Source organism: Homo sapiens, chromosome 16 (assembly GCF_000001405.40).
Source record: "Homo sapiens chromosome 16, GRCh38.p14 Primary Assembly".
NCBI lineage: Eukaryota > Metazoa > Chordata > Mammalia > Primates > Hominidae > Homo > Homo sapiens.
Window position 1 is genome coordinate 52,733,543 of NC_000016.10, and position 18,637 is coordinate 52,752,179.

An 18,637-nucleotide genomic window follows, 5' to 3' on the forward strand; every position below is an offset into this window, starting at 1 on the left:
CTTTTGTCTTTTAGGCCTTTCAACAGGATGCCAAAATTATTGATTCAGTCGATTGATTCAGCAAACAACTTGTTAATTAGGTTAAAAAGTAAGAATTTAGCCAAAGCTGATGCGTCAAACTGGCATGGCAGATAAACTTCCAACATGTGGTTGAAAGAAAAATTTGCCTGAGTTAGGACACATCCATGGCTTCCTAGGATGAAAAGTGGAGGAACATCATCATTCCAGACACTGTTCTTCCTCCACATTTCCCTGCTTCATCCAAAACACTGATGCAGCCACTTCTCCGGGACTCTCTCCAGTAAGTAGGGGCATTCGCCAGCATCCCCATTTCGTACACGATCATGTCTACCAAAGCCCAGAAGAAATTCAAGACAATTTTAGAGAGTCAAAGAAAACACTGGGCATTTGAAGCCTTCTATCGGTTTTTTCACGTGAAAATCAAATGGCAGTGCAGCAAAAATGAAAGGATGAATGTAATAGGACTCTTTCTGTTGTAATTAAGTGAAAAACGAAACTCAAACTGCCTTCAGGAAAAGGTTAGAAAAAGGAATTCAAGTAACTGGAAATCTGGAAGGTTTGGTTCCCTTAAGTCATAGCTACCCAAACCCCAGGCTTCAGCTGGGCTTTAGGACGTAGTTCCTCCCTCTCCTCCTTTCCTGGCTGTGGTTTTCTCTGTGCTGGCTTTCCTCTTGCTCTGGCTCTCTTCATGTGGTGACCCCATACAGGTCCAGATTAATACCTTTAGAACTCTAAATCTGGCAGAGAGATTCTCTTTTTCTCCAAATGCTCCACAAAAGTGCACACCTCCAAAACCGCTAGATGAATTTGGGCCACATGTCCATCCCAAATCCCTGAGGCCAGGGGTGGACTGGGTTAGCTGACTTAGGCCTGAGTCTTATGGCAATTTCTGGAACAGGGGCTGGGGTCAGTTTTTCTACAAGGACTGAGGTCTGAGGTGAGAGGCGTAGTGCCCCCCAAAAAAATCAGTGGTTACCAAAAGTAAAAATAACTTCTAGGTCGGCAAAACAACAAGCGTCTACTACCATAGCCTTGCCTGGTTCTGGCCCCATACTAGAGTCACTTGACCTACAACTGTCAGCAAAATTGGCCAAAGTGCTGACTTCAGGCATAGGGCATTTAAGGAGCTACATCTATTATCCCAAAATTCAGCCTCAAGCCCCTCCTGCTGGTTATGCTGCTCTGGCCCCGTTGTATATCCCAGGATCCTGTTCTTGTTCCCAAGGTCTTTTTGTTTTGGCCAACTGCCTTGTGTATGTCCATTTGCTAATTTTGTCCTAGAGGCTGGCTTGGAACCTCAGTCCCATATCTGACCACATGTGAACAGACTTCAATGATGTGAGCATATGTTCCTGAATTCTCAGCCACCATGCTCCGCTTGCCTATTGCCTGTTCCCAAACCTATCCCTAATCCAGATTACCACCTGTCCACCACAAGCTAAGATCTGCTTGCTGGGAAGGATTTTGCTCAATTACTTATAGCTCTGTCTGACATTTTAAATGCTTGTCTGACTTTTTAAATGCTTGTCTGTAGGGGACATTTTTATATTTGCAGCCCTCCCCCTTTTCATAGAACCCTAATTTTCCTCCTGGGAACCCTTCCTGTGCCAATTCTTAGCTTGTTTGCCCCCAGATCCACTCCTCACCTTTCCTTTGCCTTATTTTACATTTCAGGAGAGCTGAATTTTCCTCCAAGCTGCATTTCCCAGGCTCCCGTGTTAGCTGGTTTTCTGAGTGGATTAAGCTAATGAAGGGTAATGGCAGGAGACTGGAACACAGAGGAAGACAGAAGCTGGGGTATTTCTCCCCTTTCCTTTCTGCCTTGAGTGATGTCTCTAGCATCTTCTCCATGCTGTCAGCTCCTGCTAGACAAGCTCTGCTGCAGCTCCTGTTTCCACCGGGTAGACCTAGCCCCTGGATTCCAGAAACACTGTCTCCATCCTCCCTTTATCCCACCAGCAAGTGGAGGTAGCAATATCCTGCTGCTGTTAATCTCAAGGTTATTCCACCATCCCCTCTTGGCTTCTCTATCCCACCATCACCTGTGTGACCAATTTCTTACATTAAACTACCTCTGTTTTAAAGACTCAAAGTGGTTTCAGTACTCCTGGTTGAACCTGACCGATACGACCCTTTTCTCCATTCTCAGCCCATCCGCTACAAGGGAAGTTGACTCCACCTGCAGCTGCAATAGTGGGCATGTGACTTACACTCGGCCAATCAGAACATCTTACACCCCTGGCTGTGGTGACTGGTTCAGGAATTTGCACATAGCACAATCAGCTCCACTGGTAACCACCACCAGGATACTGGGTGTGTTGGGAGAGAGACAGATTCTTCTTTTTCTGGTCTTGTATCTGTAAAGATGCAAACCTGGAAGTACTGGCACCCATCTTGCTGCCTCATGGAGAGAGCCCTGCCTGAGAATGAAGTCAACGTACATGGTAGCAGAGTTGAGAGGCAGAAGGAAGAAAACTGGGTCTTCATAATATCTAGAGTCTGATACCTTGAGCCACTGGCATCTGAAGACAAAAAGAACTACCTTAATGAGGGTAAGAGTAGATCTATCTATCTTCTTAAATATCTGAGATCTTCTTAAATATCTGAAAAGTTCAGTCAAAGCTAGATGCAGGGGCTCAAATAATGTGATCAAGGCAACGTATCCCCACCCCCACCCCACCCTTTTCTTGGCTTTCATTGGCTTGGTTTGACTTATGAGCACAACTCTAAACCTCTGTGACTAAGGATATATTATACTTCATTGCTCTGTCCTTGTCATGGGTCTACCCATAAGAGGACTGGAGAAGAAGGTGTCAGCCCTACCCAAACCACATGGAGAGTCTGGGTAGAAGTGATTCCTGAAAGTGTTTGAAGTACTCTTACCAAAAGAAGAGGGAAGGGGGGCTAATGAGGCAGTAAGAGTCCCTGACCTAGTCCAATACTTTCAGCTGGTAGACAGGAAAACTGAATACTGGAAAAAGGACATGGCTTGTCCCAGGCCACAAAGCTCAAAACCACTTGTGTCATGTGTAGTATCATGGTAGCTGGAGACCTTGTTAGCTGCTTTCCATGAACATTCACCTGAAGCACCCTCTGGGATATTTAAAGAAGACCCAAAATGTTCCCAAACTCTCTCAGTTCACAGCATCCTTGGAATCTCACTGATTGTTCATGATGTCTGTAGGGAATCTCAGTCATTGTTCATGGCGTCTGGAGGCCAAAGCAATATGTAAAAGGTCTATCTATTTAGTAGTTAGGTCCAATCAACTGCATATTTATATAATAAGAACTTAGCAATCATTTGAAAAAATAATAGAAATAAATTTGTATTTCATTCTTTAATACCCACACAACATGTATTTATTTATTTATTTATTTAATTTTTTTTTTTTTTTTTTTGAGGCAGGGTCTGGCTCTGTCACCCAGGCTGAAGTGCAATGGCATCATCATGACTCACTGCAGCCTCAACTTCCCAGACTCAAGCAATCCTTCCACCTTAGCCTCCCAAGTAGCTAGGGCTACAGGCATGCACCACCATGCCCAGCCAATTTTTGTACATTTTGTGGAGACGGGTTCTCACTATGTTGCCAAGGTTGGTCTCAAATTTCTGGCCTAAGCAATCCTCCCACCTTGATCTCCCAAAGTGTGGGATTATAGTCATGATTACTGCTCCTGGTCCCACACTACTTATTAATGGGAAGCAGGCATTCACTGGACTTGGCACTCAAACTTTGGAATCAGATTAGATATCAACATCCTTATTTCCTATTACACATTAATGTTCACACACTGCTTGTTTTTGATCACAACAGTTATTTTGGGGGAAAAATTTCATGAAGATAAGACATCACAGAAAGGAATGTAGCATCCTCTAATATTAACTATCTCAAGCTAGCTGTCTATACAGTGTCCAACAGATGCTATCACTGGTTTCCTTCAAAAATGTTGAAAGATCCCATGGTGCCCCCTGTGAGTTAGCTGTGGTGCCCTGGTGTGCCTTAACACACAGTTTAGGAACTGCAGCCTTAAGATAAAAGCCCATGGACTTCCCTACCCCGCTTTATCCTACCTATAGGGTGATAATCAGTGACCTTGAGCAGCAGAAGGGAGCTATGGGGAAGAATGAAGATGCTGCTACCAATTGGCCAGATTTGGAGAAATCCCAATGCCATCTGAGCAGAGGAGACATCCTCCCTGAGACCCTTGTTTGTCCAAGAAAAAGCAAAATGCCACCCCCAATTCTAAGGAATTAGGGTAACCACTGTTGGCCTCTTTCTAAAGACAATGGGCCCAGATGTCTGCTGCCCTCAAGGACCATTTGTGGTGCTATTTATTGCACTTTAGATATTTGTTTCTCCCTGATTTATTAATAGTTTATATTTCATTTTGCATCTCTGGCCTATAATTGCATTGCAAACAAAGCACTTGGATTATAAATTTCTTCAGAAATTGAAGCAAAGTCCCATTTAAAAATTTTACATCTTTTACCTAAAATAAAAACTGACGCTGCTTATTTTCCCTCCACTGTGATCACTGACCTGGAAGTACAAAGACCTGTGCTTTCAACCTGGCCGTGCCGTTCCCTTGCTATTGGATGCTTGCTGACATACAGCCCCACCAGACCCCATTTTTCTTATTTGTTAAAAAAAATAGCAAGCTGAGGAAAGACGTTGAGATTTTACCAACCAGTAAAATTTTTCATGCTTTGGAGATCAACCTATGATTGCCTATGTGCAATTTTGCCAAAAGCATACAAAAAGCAACTACAATCTACTATCACCATTATTTTACAAAGATTATTTTAATAAATGGTGCTGGGAAAACTGGATATCCATATGCAGAAGAATGAAACCAGACTCCTGTCTCTCATCCTATGCAAAAATCAAATCAAAATGGGTTAAAGACTTAAATATAAGGCCTTAAATAATGAAACTACTAAAAAAAAAATCTTAAACAATGAAACCACTAAAAGAAAACATTGGGGAAACTCTCCAGGACACCAGAAGGGACAAAGATTTCTTGAGCAATGCCCCACAGGCTCAGGCAACCAAAGCAAACGTGGACAAATTGGGATGGCATCGAGTTTAAAAGTTTCTGTACAGCAAATGAAATGATCAACAAGGTGAAGAGACAACCCACAAAAAGGGAGAAAATATTCGCAAACTACCCATCTGACAAGGGGTTAAAAACCACAGCTATAAGGAGCTCAAACAACTTTATAGGAAAAAAATCTAATAACTTGATTAAAAATTGAACAAAAGATCTGAATAGACATTTCTCAAAAGAAGACACACAAATTGCAAACAGGCATATGAAAAGGTGCTCAACATCAGAGAAATGCAAAACTACAATGAGATATCATCTCACCCCAGTTAAAATGGCTTTTATCCAAAAGTCAGGCAATCCTATTCACAATAGCAAAGATGTGGAATTAAACTAAATGTCCATCAAAGATAAACTGGATTAAGAAAATATGGTACATACACCATGGAATACTATGCAGCCATAAAAAAGAACTCGATCATGTCCTTTGCAGGGACATGGATGGAGCTGGAGGCCATTATCCTTAGCAAACTAATGCAGGAATTGAAAACCAGATGCCACATGGCCTTACTTATAGGTGGGATGTAAATGGATGAGAACACATGGACACATACAGGGGAATAACACATTGGGGCCTATTGGAGGGTGAGGGTGGGAGAAGGGAGAGGATCAGGAAAAATAACTAATGGGTACTAGGCTTAATACCTGGGTGATGAACTAATCTGTACAACAAATCCCCATGACATAAGTTTACCTATATAACAAACCTGCACGTGTACCCTTGAACTTAAAGTTAAAACAGAAAAGAAAAGAAAAAAAGAGCAAAAATCAGGCCATCATAAATGCTGGTGAGGATGTGCAGAAAAGAGATCCCTCATCCACTGTTGGCAGGAATGTAAATTAGTACAACTACTAGGTAGAACAATTTGGAGGTTCCTCAAAAAACTAAAAATAAAGCTACCATATGATCCAGCAATCCCACTGTTAGGTATAAACACAAAAGAAAATAAATCAGTATATCGAACAGGTATCTGCACCCTCATGTTTACTGCAGCACTATTCACAATAGCCAAGATTTGGAAGCAACCAAAATGTCCATCAACAGGTAAATGAAAAAAGAAAATGTAGTACGTATACATAATGGAGTACTATTCAGCCACTAAAAAGAATGAGATCCTATTATTTGCAAAAGTATGCATGGAACTAGAGGTTATTATGTTAAGTGAAATAAAGCCAGGAACAGAAAGACAAACATCACATGTTCTCACTTATCCTTGGGAGCTAAAAATTAAAACAACTGAACTTATGGAGACAGAGGGTAGAGGACATAGGAGGGTACCAGAGGCTGGGAAGGGTATTCGGGGTTGGGCGAGGGTGGTGGGGGAGTGGTAAATGGGCACAAAAAATAGTCAGAAAGAATGAATAAGACCTAGTATTTGCTAGCACAACAGGGTCCCCATAGTATAAAATAATTTAATTATACATTTTAAAATAACTAAGAGTATAATTGGTTTATTAGAAACACAAAGGATAAATGCTTGAGGAGATGATCACTCCATTTACCCTATTGTCATTATTGTACATTGTATGCCTATATCAAAATATCTCATGTATGTAACCTATAAACATATACACCTACTATGTACCCACAAAAATTAAAAATTAAATTAAATTAAATCAAAAATAAAGGTCATTTTACTGTCAAAATGCAGAAAGAAAATATCCCAAAGAATCTCCCTTTTATTTCCTTACTTTAACAGAAAAACTCATTGTTGTCATTTTTTCCATTTTGCTTCAGACTGGTGAAAACCTCATCATAATTAGCACAAATTACAAAGGAACATTTGCATGATTGTAGCATCCCTCTCAGCCCTGACTTTGCAGATGTATTCACCACAGTGACTTAACTTTATGAGCCTCAGTATCTTCATCTGAAAAATGGGCACAGTAAAACCTGCTCTCTTTACTTCTCAAGGTGATTATGAGTGTGAAATGAAAAAGTGGACGTGACGGTGCTTTGGAAAAAAAAGAAAAGAAAGAAAGAAAGATGAAGGTATCACCCCAAGTGGTATCTTCTGGACCCTTTACATTGTACCTAGAATCAAGGCTACAATTATGAATCTCCAACTTTTTCTCTAACTCTCCAGCCTTGACTGGTTTAATTTAGGCCCTGAACATTAGTTTAACAAAGTGCTTTCATGTTTATTATATTGGATTAGCAAATTATAAGCTATCATATGAGGCTTTTGAGAACACCCAGACAAATGGCTTGCACGCAGGGAACCCTCATATACTCGCCATATGGGCTTCATTTATTAAAGCTTTGGACCGTGAGCTTGGGGAGAGCCAACCTCTTTACAGAGAGACTCCTGAGGATTGGTTGCTAGGAAGCTACAAAAGCTAGTGTTTTTAATGAGATTTAAAGTATCATAAATTATATATTATTTTCTGCACTTAGGACATTCACAGCTCTTTGGTTTATTTTGTATTTCATTTCGCATTGGTGACACATAATCCCTTTACATACAAAATGCCTTGCATAAGAATTCCCTCAGAAATCAGACCAAAATTACATTTCAAAATTATTTTTTTCTCCCTAAAATAAAAGTTCACATTGCTTTGTCTCCTCCTGCATGTCCAAGGCAGGCAATGGCTAAGAATTTATTTTCTCCAGCTTAAAAAAAAACTTAATCCCAGCCTTTCCCAGTGATAATTACTCCAGTGAATACTGTGAGTTGAGTCTGGAGCTGCTGTTAATAAGAATTCTCATAATTCCATTTTCTGATGAGAGTTAATGTGGGTTCTGTGGGTTTAATTCCACAGATAATTACGGAGGCAGTATTTAAAAAGCCTGTTTAGTCAGTACCCTTCCTCAACTCCCTTCAGTTTTCAACATTAAATAAAGAGGCAGCCATTCCACAAAAGAAATTCAAAAACTATTTGGTTTAACTGCCCATCTTTAAGAAGGCGAGTCATTATGCAAATGCAGTGCCCAGAATTGGCTCGTGGAGGCTGCTCCATCCAATCTGCATAATAAAAAGCAGCCGCTGGCCAGGCACAGAGAGCCACAGGCACATTTCTGCTGAAAGTGGCCACCGATAAGACAAATTAAGACGGTGGTTTTCGATTAAGAAATTGTTTTGATCAGAGATCCTTTTTGAAATGAGATTCTAACATCTTTGGAAAACAACGGTGCCTGAGCAGCACACGTCCTCTTTTTTGCTTCTCTTTGTAACTTCTCTTCCTCTTTCTTGTGCTTGTCACTCATGGCCCAAAGTGTGTTTTAGAGGCATTAGGCTGCTTTCAGGAACATCTCAGCCATTTCATTTAATAGGCTCTATTTTCCACTTTTAACAAAAATCAAGTGCTCTAACAAGGTGCAATTAATCAATTCTAGCAAAAGTTGTACGGACATTTATAAGTCGCAATGCGGAGAAATCGTGAGGCAACAATGTGTACAGGCTTATCAATGATTGTATACAAAACTACAGGGCCCATGCCTTCTTTAAATGTTGAAAGTCAGCTTTGTCTTTCCTTAACACTAGCTGATTTACCAAACTCTCCCCCATTGCCTTCCTAAGAGCTCTACGGGCTTCAGGTTTCTGATCTCCACTTCTGATTGCTTGATATGTGGATTGAGTTTACCCCTCGCTTGGCTCATAGCTGACCAATCAAAAATCCAGGCCTCACTCAGCATCCAGGTCCCACATTCATTCTCCCCTGCTCCGTACCAAAACGCCTTTTCCAATCGCATATTGTTTCAATGGGCTGCGTTGAAGCGGGACTGTTCGTAGACTTGTCAACTTATGAACTATGTCCTTTAGCTGTAATTTCAAGAAAGCCACGAGAGGATGGAAGGATGACATGGGTTAGCTGGAACAGGTGGCAAAGTGGAAAAAATAAGAACTTGCTGGTAGACTGTAAAGAGCACTCGAAAGGGGGAAATGGAAAGTCTGAAAAAAATACTCATACACCAGAATCATTATAGAGGCTACATGTGAGCTTCAATCGTTGATTTATATTATCTTTTTTGGCCTCTTGTCTTTTCTGCATTTCCAACAATGATCATGCATTATAATTATATTATTTTAAAGTTTTTTTTTTTTTTTAAGCATGTCCCAATTTCACTTTTAGTATGGCGGAGTGAAACCATCCAGGTCTGTCTGTCTGCATGACCTTGGACACATTCTACCCTTTTGGACTTCCGTTTTCTGATTTGTAAATAAAGAAGCTGATTCTGAAATCTCTTTTAAGGCTCATATGTTGAGTCATCTAAGAATATCTGTTTCATCCTAGGGATAAAACAAGAATAAGAAAACATAAGGATAAGGAAGCAAAATAAATCTTAATCCTACAACTAACTCAGCAATACTAAAGCTTTTAGAGGGCTTGGAGATCTTCCAAAATCTTCTTGTGTAAGAATTATTTGAAAGAAATATTCCACTGAGTAGGAAAATGACAGGGAATTTCTGTTCTATCTCAGTGCCTTAGATGAGAAGTAGGTGGCACCAGGGTGGCAAGCTGGAGGGGTGCAGAGTGAATATTAGAACTTCGATGGCTTAGATCCATCCAGAGCCTTTTCTACCAAATTATGTACTACCTTGAATTTGTGATGTTTTCCTATTGGATCCTTAAGTAGAATGATCATTGATTGGCATTTGCCTGGGATCATCCAGAAGTATAGCTGCTGACCCAGTGTAATTCCTCATAGCATCTCTTTTGCTCTTGAACATGTCCTGAATTAGACAACTACTTTTATGGTCATATCACCCACCCCTTAACCCAGTCCTTGCCCCTCTTTCAGCTTCACAACATTTCACCTTGCAACACAGCTTGACCCAGGCTTCTTCCTTGACCTCTGCCTTCACCAGAGAGAGGACTAACCCTAATGTCTCAGAGTCCATATTCGCTCATGGGTCAACTTTGTCTCTCATTCTCACTCGTGGTCTGGAAGCATAAGCTGGGGTTTAATCTCCAAGCTCAGGACCAAACTTTTCAAAACATTATAAAATACAACTGAGGGAAAGGCCAGACCTGCTTAACAGGAGCCCATCACACCTATGTGGTATAACACCCTCTTTCTTCCTTAAAGGCAGGATGTTGTACATGCAAAATGGCAGATATCACTACTAGGCAACCTTCTTTCATTCATTTATTTGACAATTATTATGTGTCAGCTTCCACGTTAAGTTTTTGAGAAAACACAAAGATCACCCAGGCATCATCTGTGTTCCCAAGTTCGCACAGTCTAGTTGGGGGATAGAGGGTGGGAATGCAGACTTTATAAATCACTGACTCATCATTTTTTATCTCCTCCAGGAAACATGCCATATAGTAGGCACTCAAAAAGATTTGTTGAATCCATGCCTATATGAGGTAATGCATTAATTCATATTGCTTTGCCCTCTGATTGCATTGTGCATCTATCTCTCATCTCCCAAAAGACAGAACTGTATCATTATAGTATGGTAGATCAGAGAGGCAGAAACCTGCGGCAGTTAAGAGTACGTGTCTAGAGACAGAGTTCCTGGGTTTGAACCCTGGCTCTGTCACTTGTTAGCTGCATGATTTAGAGCAATTTATTTTACCTTTCTGTGCTTTACCTTTCAGTTTCCTGTTCTGAAAATGAGGATACCAATAGTAGCTACCATAGGGTTGTTGAGAGGACTAATGAGTTCATACCCTCAGAGTGCCTAAAACAGTTTAACAATTGGCTCTCTGGGGGTGAAGGAAAAAAAAAGCCCTGATTTGTAGTATTGGCTGATTTCAGTGTTGTAAATGCTCCTGCCACCAATGTGATGTCACTGAATGTGGAGGTGGGAAGAGTTGTGTACAACGGGTTCTTCCAGGCAGCACACCATTGCACCATTGACTTATACATAATGAGACAATGTATGTGAAGGCATTTCTTCAACTTTGTACATGTGAGTTTGCTCTGTTAATCAATCCTTTTTCTGCTTTTGGTCCTTATTGTGTTTAATAGAATGGTGAAACATGAGATCAATATTCTAAATAATTATACAGACAAGCCAACTACACTCACCAAGTAGGGCTGAACACCAAGTGAGGGAAGACCCCTCCACAGCACTGTCTGCTGTGCACGACGTTGTCTAGTTTCTTTAGAATGATGCCATCATCATAGCAACTACCATTTTAAGGGACTTACTATATTCCATGACCTGTGTCAGATGCTTTAAATACATGATTCCATTTTATCCTCACAACAGCTTTGTGAGATTGGAATTGTAACCCCCAATTTACAGATAAAGAAATTGAGGCTCAGGGAAGTACATAGCATGCTCTTATTCCACCATACTAAGTGACAAAGCCAGGATTCAACCCTAGTCTGTGTGATGCCAAAGCTCACCCTAAGGCACCACACTTAACTGTCATGACTCTTTTTAAGTTGCAATGTCATTTTAATTTTGACTCTTGGTGCCAATAGGCAACATATCATAGTAGCTAAGAATATAGACTTATAAAATCAGACCAGGCTCAAATGCTACTCTGATACTTACCAGCCTTATGACCTCAGGCAAGTTCCTTAATCTCTCTGTGCTTCAGTTTCGTCACCTATAAAATCGGGATAATTATGGCGCCTGCTATGGTGCCTGCTTTATAAGAATTAAATGACTTAGTATGTACAAAATATTTAGAACAGTGTCTGGCACATAGCAAATTCTATGTCAATGTTTATTAAATGAAAATAAAGTTCTTTCAGATGAGGCAGGAGTTTGCTTGTGTTTCAAGACAGAAATGGTGTGAAAGCCACACTTAGATACAAGAGCTAACCTGCCTGATTGACTCTCCAGAAAAGGTCCAGGCAGATGAAATCAAGCAATATCAGGACCAAATGCAGAAAAATACCAGGTCTAGCTTTTCCTGGAACAGGTGCTTTGCACACTGATTTTCCAGTTAAACAACCTCTGTGGTAACCACAATCATAACATGTAAAGTACAGCTAACTTTTTTCTAAGTGGCTTCTTCCAAGGTGCCTATTAATGACCCTCAGAGGACACATGATAAAAAGAAAACAGGGGTTTTTATATGGTGATCAATTCATGACTTAAGCTCCCTTCCCTCAATTACAGGTAACACAGCCTCCACTCAGCTAACCAATCCCAAACAAGGCCTTCTAAGCATGGCTTTCCCTTCTGACTTTCATAACGATAAACACTCATGTCGAGGGGCAAAGGCTTTTGAAAAATCTGATAAAGATATAGACCTGGATGAAGACACTGTATCCATCAAATGGGTGACTTTCCAAAGGCACTTGGATGCTTTTTGTCATGTTCATGTTTCTTTTTTCAAAGCATTTAACTAAAAGTGGTGGCAGCAATACTAAGCAGCTAGACCCAAACACACCTCACAGAATTGTTTTGCATAGGACTGATAGCACCTCCAAAACCTGTACCCACATATATATCCATTGAGTCCATCACCCCCAGCGTTGCACCCACAATGTTCTCCAATAAACTCACTATCATTAGGGATTGCCTCTTCTACATAGAAAGTTACAATGAGATCTAACTACAAATTTACAAGATCAGGGGTTACAGAAATATGATAAATGATGCCACTGGGATGCAATCAACAAAACTAGGAAACTGTAGGATAAATGGCCTACTTTCTTCAACGAATCAACAACAAAGGGGAAAAGGAGGAAAGGGGAACTGTCATACATTAAAATAGACTTTAGAGTCCATCCTGGCAACCAAATGCAGTGTGTGGATTCATTTGGACCCTGATTTGAGCAAACTAACTATGGAAAGTCAAGGCTATTTGAACACTGGTTGAATATTTGGTGATATTAAGGAATTCATGTTAATATTTAGACATATTAAAGATATTATATGTATGCTTTTTAAAGTTGTACTATTATCTCTTAAAAATACATACTGCAGTATATATGGATGAAATAATGGGATATCTGGTATTTGCTTTAAAACATTCCAGGCAGGGGTGAGGGATGTAGAGTGAGGAAGTCAGAACTTGAAATCAAATTGACTATATGTTGATAGTTGTTGGATGATAAGTACATAGGGGTTTATTATATTAGCCTCTCTACCTTGTATATGTTTAAAGATTTCCATAATTAAAAGTATTTCCAAATTTCTGAATTGGAAACACAGGAGTCTTTTCTGACTCTCCTCCACCTTCCTTCCTTCTTAGACCCCTTCCCTACCTTATTCGGTCACTAGGGCTGATCTCTTCTACACACCACAAACTCTGTCCTCTCCACTCAGCAGCAGCCACCTTAATTAAACCCTCATATCTTCTTTCCTGCATTATTGCAACAGCCCCCCTAACAGTCTCAACGCTCCTAAGCCACCATCCTCTCTCCCATCAGAGTAATCTTTCTAAAATTCAAATCTGCTCAAGTTACTCCCCTGCTTACCACCCTCCAAAGACTCATCCTCATCCACCATGAAGTGTCCAATCATGATCCATAAGCCCCATTATGATCCATTCCCCTGCCTACCATCCCATCCTCATCTTCCTGTCTTACCTTCAAATGCAGCAGATTCCGGTGATACCAAGCTACTGATTGTTCACTTGCCAAGAATTTATTGGGCTCCTATTATAAGAGAAATACTGTGCTAAGCATAGGAAACACAATGGCAACCAGTAGAGCAGTCCCTATATCATGGAGCTTGCATTCTTGTAGGGGAGACAGGCAATGCATAAATCAACAATGGATGGTGATGAATGGTAGATGCATGCATTTGTGCTCCCCTGAGTTTGCTATGCTCTTAATCTTCTGTGGTTTTGCTTAGGCAGTTGCTTTCACTTGGAATGCCCTTCCACAATCAGCTCCCTTCCATCTGCTGAATGCCTGCTCCTCTAGTCACCCTTTAAGATTTAACCCATCCGTTGGTTTCTTAGGGAAACCTTCCCCACCACCTCCAGACTTAGTTTGTCCTCATTATGTCACAAACATCTTGCACTCTGCCTAGACCAAAGTAGGTATTTAATAAATGCTTATTGAAAAAACAAATGAGTGAATGGTCTGATGGATGGATTTCTGCCTTCCTTAAAGTGGCTTTCTGAAGCTTTTAAGTCATGAGTGTTACGAGCAGAGATTATATCTGCGTATTATTCTATATCCTGAAGCATTTGGGATTACGATGTATATTTTGTTAACCAAAGCCATTGAAAATAGATATTTGCTTAAACTTAAAATGTCTCTAAGTGTTTCCAGTGAATTTGTGTTATGGCAAAAAAAGGTTCTACAGTGAAATATTTTGAGCTCAGCAAAATTCATACTGAGTTATTCTTATTTTTTAATTTCAGGAGTTCTTAGAGTCTGTAATATACTAATTTATGTGACCCTCTAGGATGAGACTTTATTATATGATTTTCCAAAACATGTTTGGCCAACAGATCCTTTTGTTCTCAGCACATCTCAGCAGACTAATGTCCTGAAAAGCGCCTTTTGGAAAACATTGGCCTACCTGATGCTCTAAGAGTTTTCCTTCATTGATTCATTTGACTTACTTTGAAATAAGGTAATAAGCAGGACCTTGCCACAGTAACTGTGCAACAGAGAGATGTGCTGAGGCTTTCTGTTCCCTCACCTCCTCATCTGTTAAACTATGGTAATAATGCATGTCGTGATTGAATCAGCAGAATTAAAAGGACTTTATGAGATTGGGGCATGGAGTTTTATTTTCCAGCCTTCTCCCTTTCTGTCTTGATTTCTCAATCTATACAGTAAAGGTAGCAATGCTTCAGTAATTGAGAAAATGGCATATCAATCAATGCTTGTTAAAACAAATGTACAAAAATGAAAACCTCTAAGGACAAAAATCAGTAGCTGGTAAGGCTGCTTCTGGATATGTGAGAAATGAAATAAGAGTAGACAATATGCCATTTGGAAGAAGAGAGTTTCTTTTAATACAATGGTTTATATTGTTTTGTAAAACACAAGGAATGCAATAAAACACAAGTGAATGTATGATTTTACACATATATATGAATACCATCTTACACTATCACGTGAGAAGATAAAATTGACAAGCGTTTTCTTTTCAGTATACATCTTTGTAGCTTAAATGATGACTAATCTTATAGATTAAATCTGATCACTGGATTATTGATATTAATTCTTTCATTGGGTTGACAGCTGTAGGATGGAAATGTCATAGGAAACGCACTGAAATCAACTGAGCCCAATTAAACAGGCAGGACCTGAGCCAACACATACAAAATACATCAATCACAGCTCATAATTTTATTTTTAAGTCAGAATGTTTTATAACCTGAGAAAGTAAGTTTAAAGCACTATATTAATAACAATGTTATTTTACATGATGATTTACGTAAAGATTTCAGCTGTATTCCATTGTTTTAAACCTAATCGGTCAACAGTGAAAATTTTCTTAAACTCTTTTCGAGCACAATTTGACCAGGAAATGTTTGGAGATAGAGGAGGCTTTATCTTCTTCAATATTTTAAGCCCTGCTTTTAGTTAAAGCTTTTAGTTAAACAAGAACAAGTCTAATCTGGCAATTTGCAAATAGGCTCATTTCTGCACCCATTCATTAATGTGCTGATTAGAATCATAATGTAGAGTTGGGGGCATCTTAAAGTCAACTCATTTATGGAAATGCTCATAAATTTAGCAAATCATTGTTCAAATAGAAACATTCCACGATGATAGAATGTAGAAAAAGAGCAGATTTAAAGCAATCAAGCATGGAGGAGCATACAAGCTTCTTGCTACAAAGTTATCTGGTCTGAAGTGAAAGATACCCAGTATCAGTCAGTGGTAGAACTGACAGATCGCAGCAAGACTAGTCACTATCTAGGTACAGAAAGAAGTGGGAAAGAGGGAAATTGAGGGAGTATAGAGAGAAGAAGGAAATCAAAACTACATTTGAAAGAGAATTGACCATGAGTTAATCACCACTGGAACTAGGTGATTGGTAAATACATAGGGGTTCACTACTTTTATATTTGTTTGAAACCTCTTGTGATAAAAATGAAAAAAAAAATTAACCTTTGGCTTCTAGCAAGAGATATAATTTTTTTTTCTTTGAGATGGAGTTTCACTCTTGTTATGTTGGCTGGAGTACAATGGTGCCATCTCAGCTCACTGCAACCTCCGCCTCCCAGGTTTAAATGATTCTCCTGGCTCAGCCTCCTGAGTAGCTAAGATTACAGTCACCCACAACCATGCCCAGCTAATTTTTGTATTTTTAGTAGAGACAGGGTTTTACCATGTTGGCCATGCTGGTCTCAAACTCCTGATCTCAGGTGATCCACCCACCTCAGCCTCCCAAAGTGCTGGGATTACAGGTGTGAGTCACCACACCCGGCCTAATAATTTTAAATGAATAAAAAAACTAAAAGCAAATCAAAAACTATGAAAGGAATATATTAACTGTAAGGAGGAAAGAAGGGAAGAAAACTTTCTAGGGAAAGGAATAAAGATTGTATAAGGAATATTTAGAAGAAAACCAGGATTAACAATGATTGCAGGTGTATTTTGATAGATAACACATTTTTTTCAACTTCAAGAAAAAAGCAAACAATTATTGAAGAACGCCATATATCTGAAGGAGTAATAAGAAAAATTTGTGGGCAGAAAATTTGTCATATTGTCAGGACAAAAATAACAAAGTATTTAAATCGAAATTATCATGAGAAGGTGGGTGACAAAAAAAGAGTGGGAGTATGAACTCCCACATACAAAAGGGGAATGTGTGAAGGTAAAAGAGGCACCTCAGAAAGTTCCAAGAATTTATTTTCTCACCAGGACAGTATGCATTCCACCTACGATGGCCACCTTTCCCATTCTGCACCCTGTACTTCTAATACATCCCTCAGCATGCTTCTAACTGGTGCTAGGACAGTGCAGGGAAAAGGTGACATACAGTTCCAGGTTCTACCTCAACAGTCACAGGGAACAGATGACCAGGTGTGCAGCTATGGTTCTTTAAGCCTTAAACTCTTTTGCCATTGATTTTTTTTCCCTGAGTTTTTAGCGCCGTATTCCTTGTTACTGGCATCTAGTAGATTCTCAGTAAATATTTACTGAATAAAGAAAAGAGCCGGGAAAGATGGCTCACGCCTGTACTCCCAGCACTTTGGAAGGCCATGGTTGGTAGATCACTTGAGGTCAGGAGTTCAAGACTAGCCTGGCCAACAATAGTGAAATCCTGTCTCTACTAAAAATACAGTAATTAGCCAGGAGTGGTGGCGGGCACTGCGCTACAGCCTGGGCAACAGAGTGAGACTCTTTCTCGAAAAGGAGAGGAGAGGAGAGGAGAGGAGAGGAGAGGAGAGGAGAAGAGAGGTGAGGGGAGGAGAGGAGAGAGGAGGGAAAGGGAGAGGAAGGGAGAGGAGGGGAAGGGAGAGGAGGGGAGAGGAGGGGAAGGGAGAGGAGGGGAGAGGAGGGGATAGGAGGGGAGAGGAGGGGAGAGGAGGGGAAAGGAGAGGAGGGGAGAGGAGGGGAAGGGAGAGGAGGGGAGAGGAGGGGAAGGGAGAGGAGGGGAAGGGAGAGGAGGGGAAGGGAGAGGAGGGGAAGGGAGAGGAGGGGAGGGGAGGGGAAGGAAGGGGAGAGGTGGGGAGAGGAGGGCAGTGGAGGAGAAGAGGAGAGGAGAGAAGAGAGAAAAGGAAAAGGAAAAGTAAAGAATGAGTGAGTGGATAAGAATGGATGAGTGAACCACAGAGCTTCCACTGCACAACACTATCTCCACTAGACACCTGGGCCATATGAGCTGCATTGATTTCAGTTCCATCTCACCTTGGAATAAGCAAATCAGGAGAACTGGTGGTTTCAGAGTCACTCTCAATTCCTCCCTGCCCCTCACCCTCCCTATAAATGCAATGACCTAGATACATCAGTAATTTTATTTATTAGGTTTTGGAGACCCAAACCTTTCTGTGGTCTGCTAATAGTAAAAATCAGCTTGGAACATAGACAGCAAATAGCAGGGAAACAATGCCAACAGTGCCCAGCTCCTGTTGATGCCTCCCCTCCATGTCTCACAAGATGTATAGGAGTGGTCGCAGAGGAGTTCCACATCCATTGTCTAGTTGGGCCCTCTGTCATCCCTCACCTAAACTGTGTCAATAGCTTCCTAACTGGCTTGCTCCAATATGATCCTCCTCAACTGCAGGTCCCATCATGACATTTAAAATATCCACTGGCTCCCCATAACTCAGAGGATAAAATCAATGCTCCTTAGCACAGCAGAGGCTTCCCATTGCCTAAGCCTGGCTTCATTTCCCAGGGCTTCCTCCACCCACCCACCAGCTCCCTCTGCTTCTGACAGGGAGCTCCCTTTGAGGGGGATTATGCCTGGTCTTGCACAGGCTTTTGTCTACCAGATATGCTTTTTTCTCTCTTTTTCTCCAACTATAGCACTGCAGATCCCTCCAAGCCTATTTCAAATGTCACCTCTGAAACACTTTTCAATCATTTTGTCTTCTCTGTTCCTATTGGCATTTAGGTCATAGGTTTTTCTAGCACTTATCAGATCAGCCTAGAATTATTAGTTGGCTTGTCTGCCTTTTCCACTAAACAATGAACTCCTAGGTGAAAAGTATTGATTCTTATTCAGGT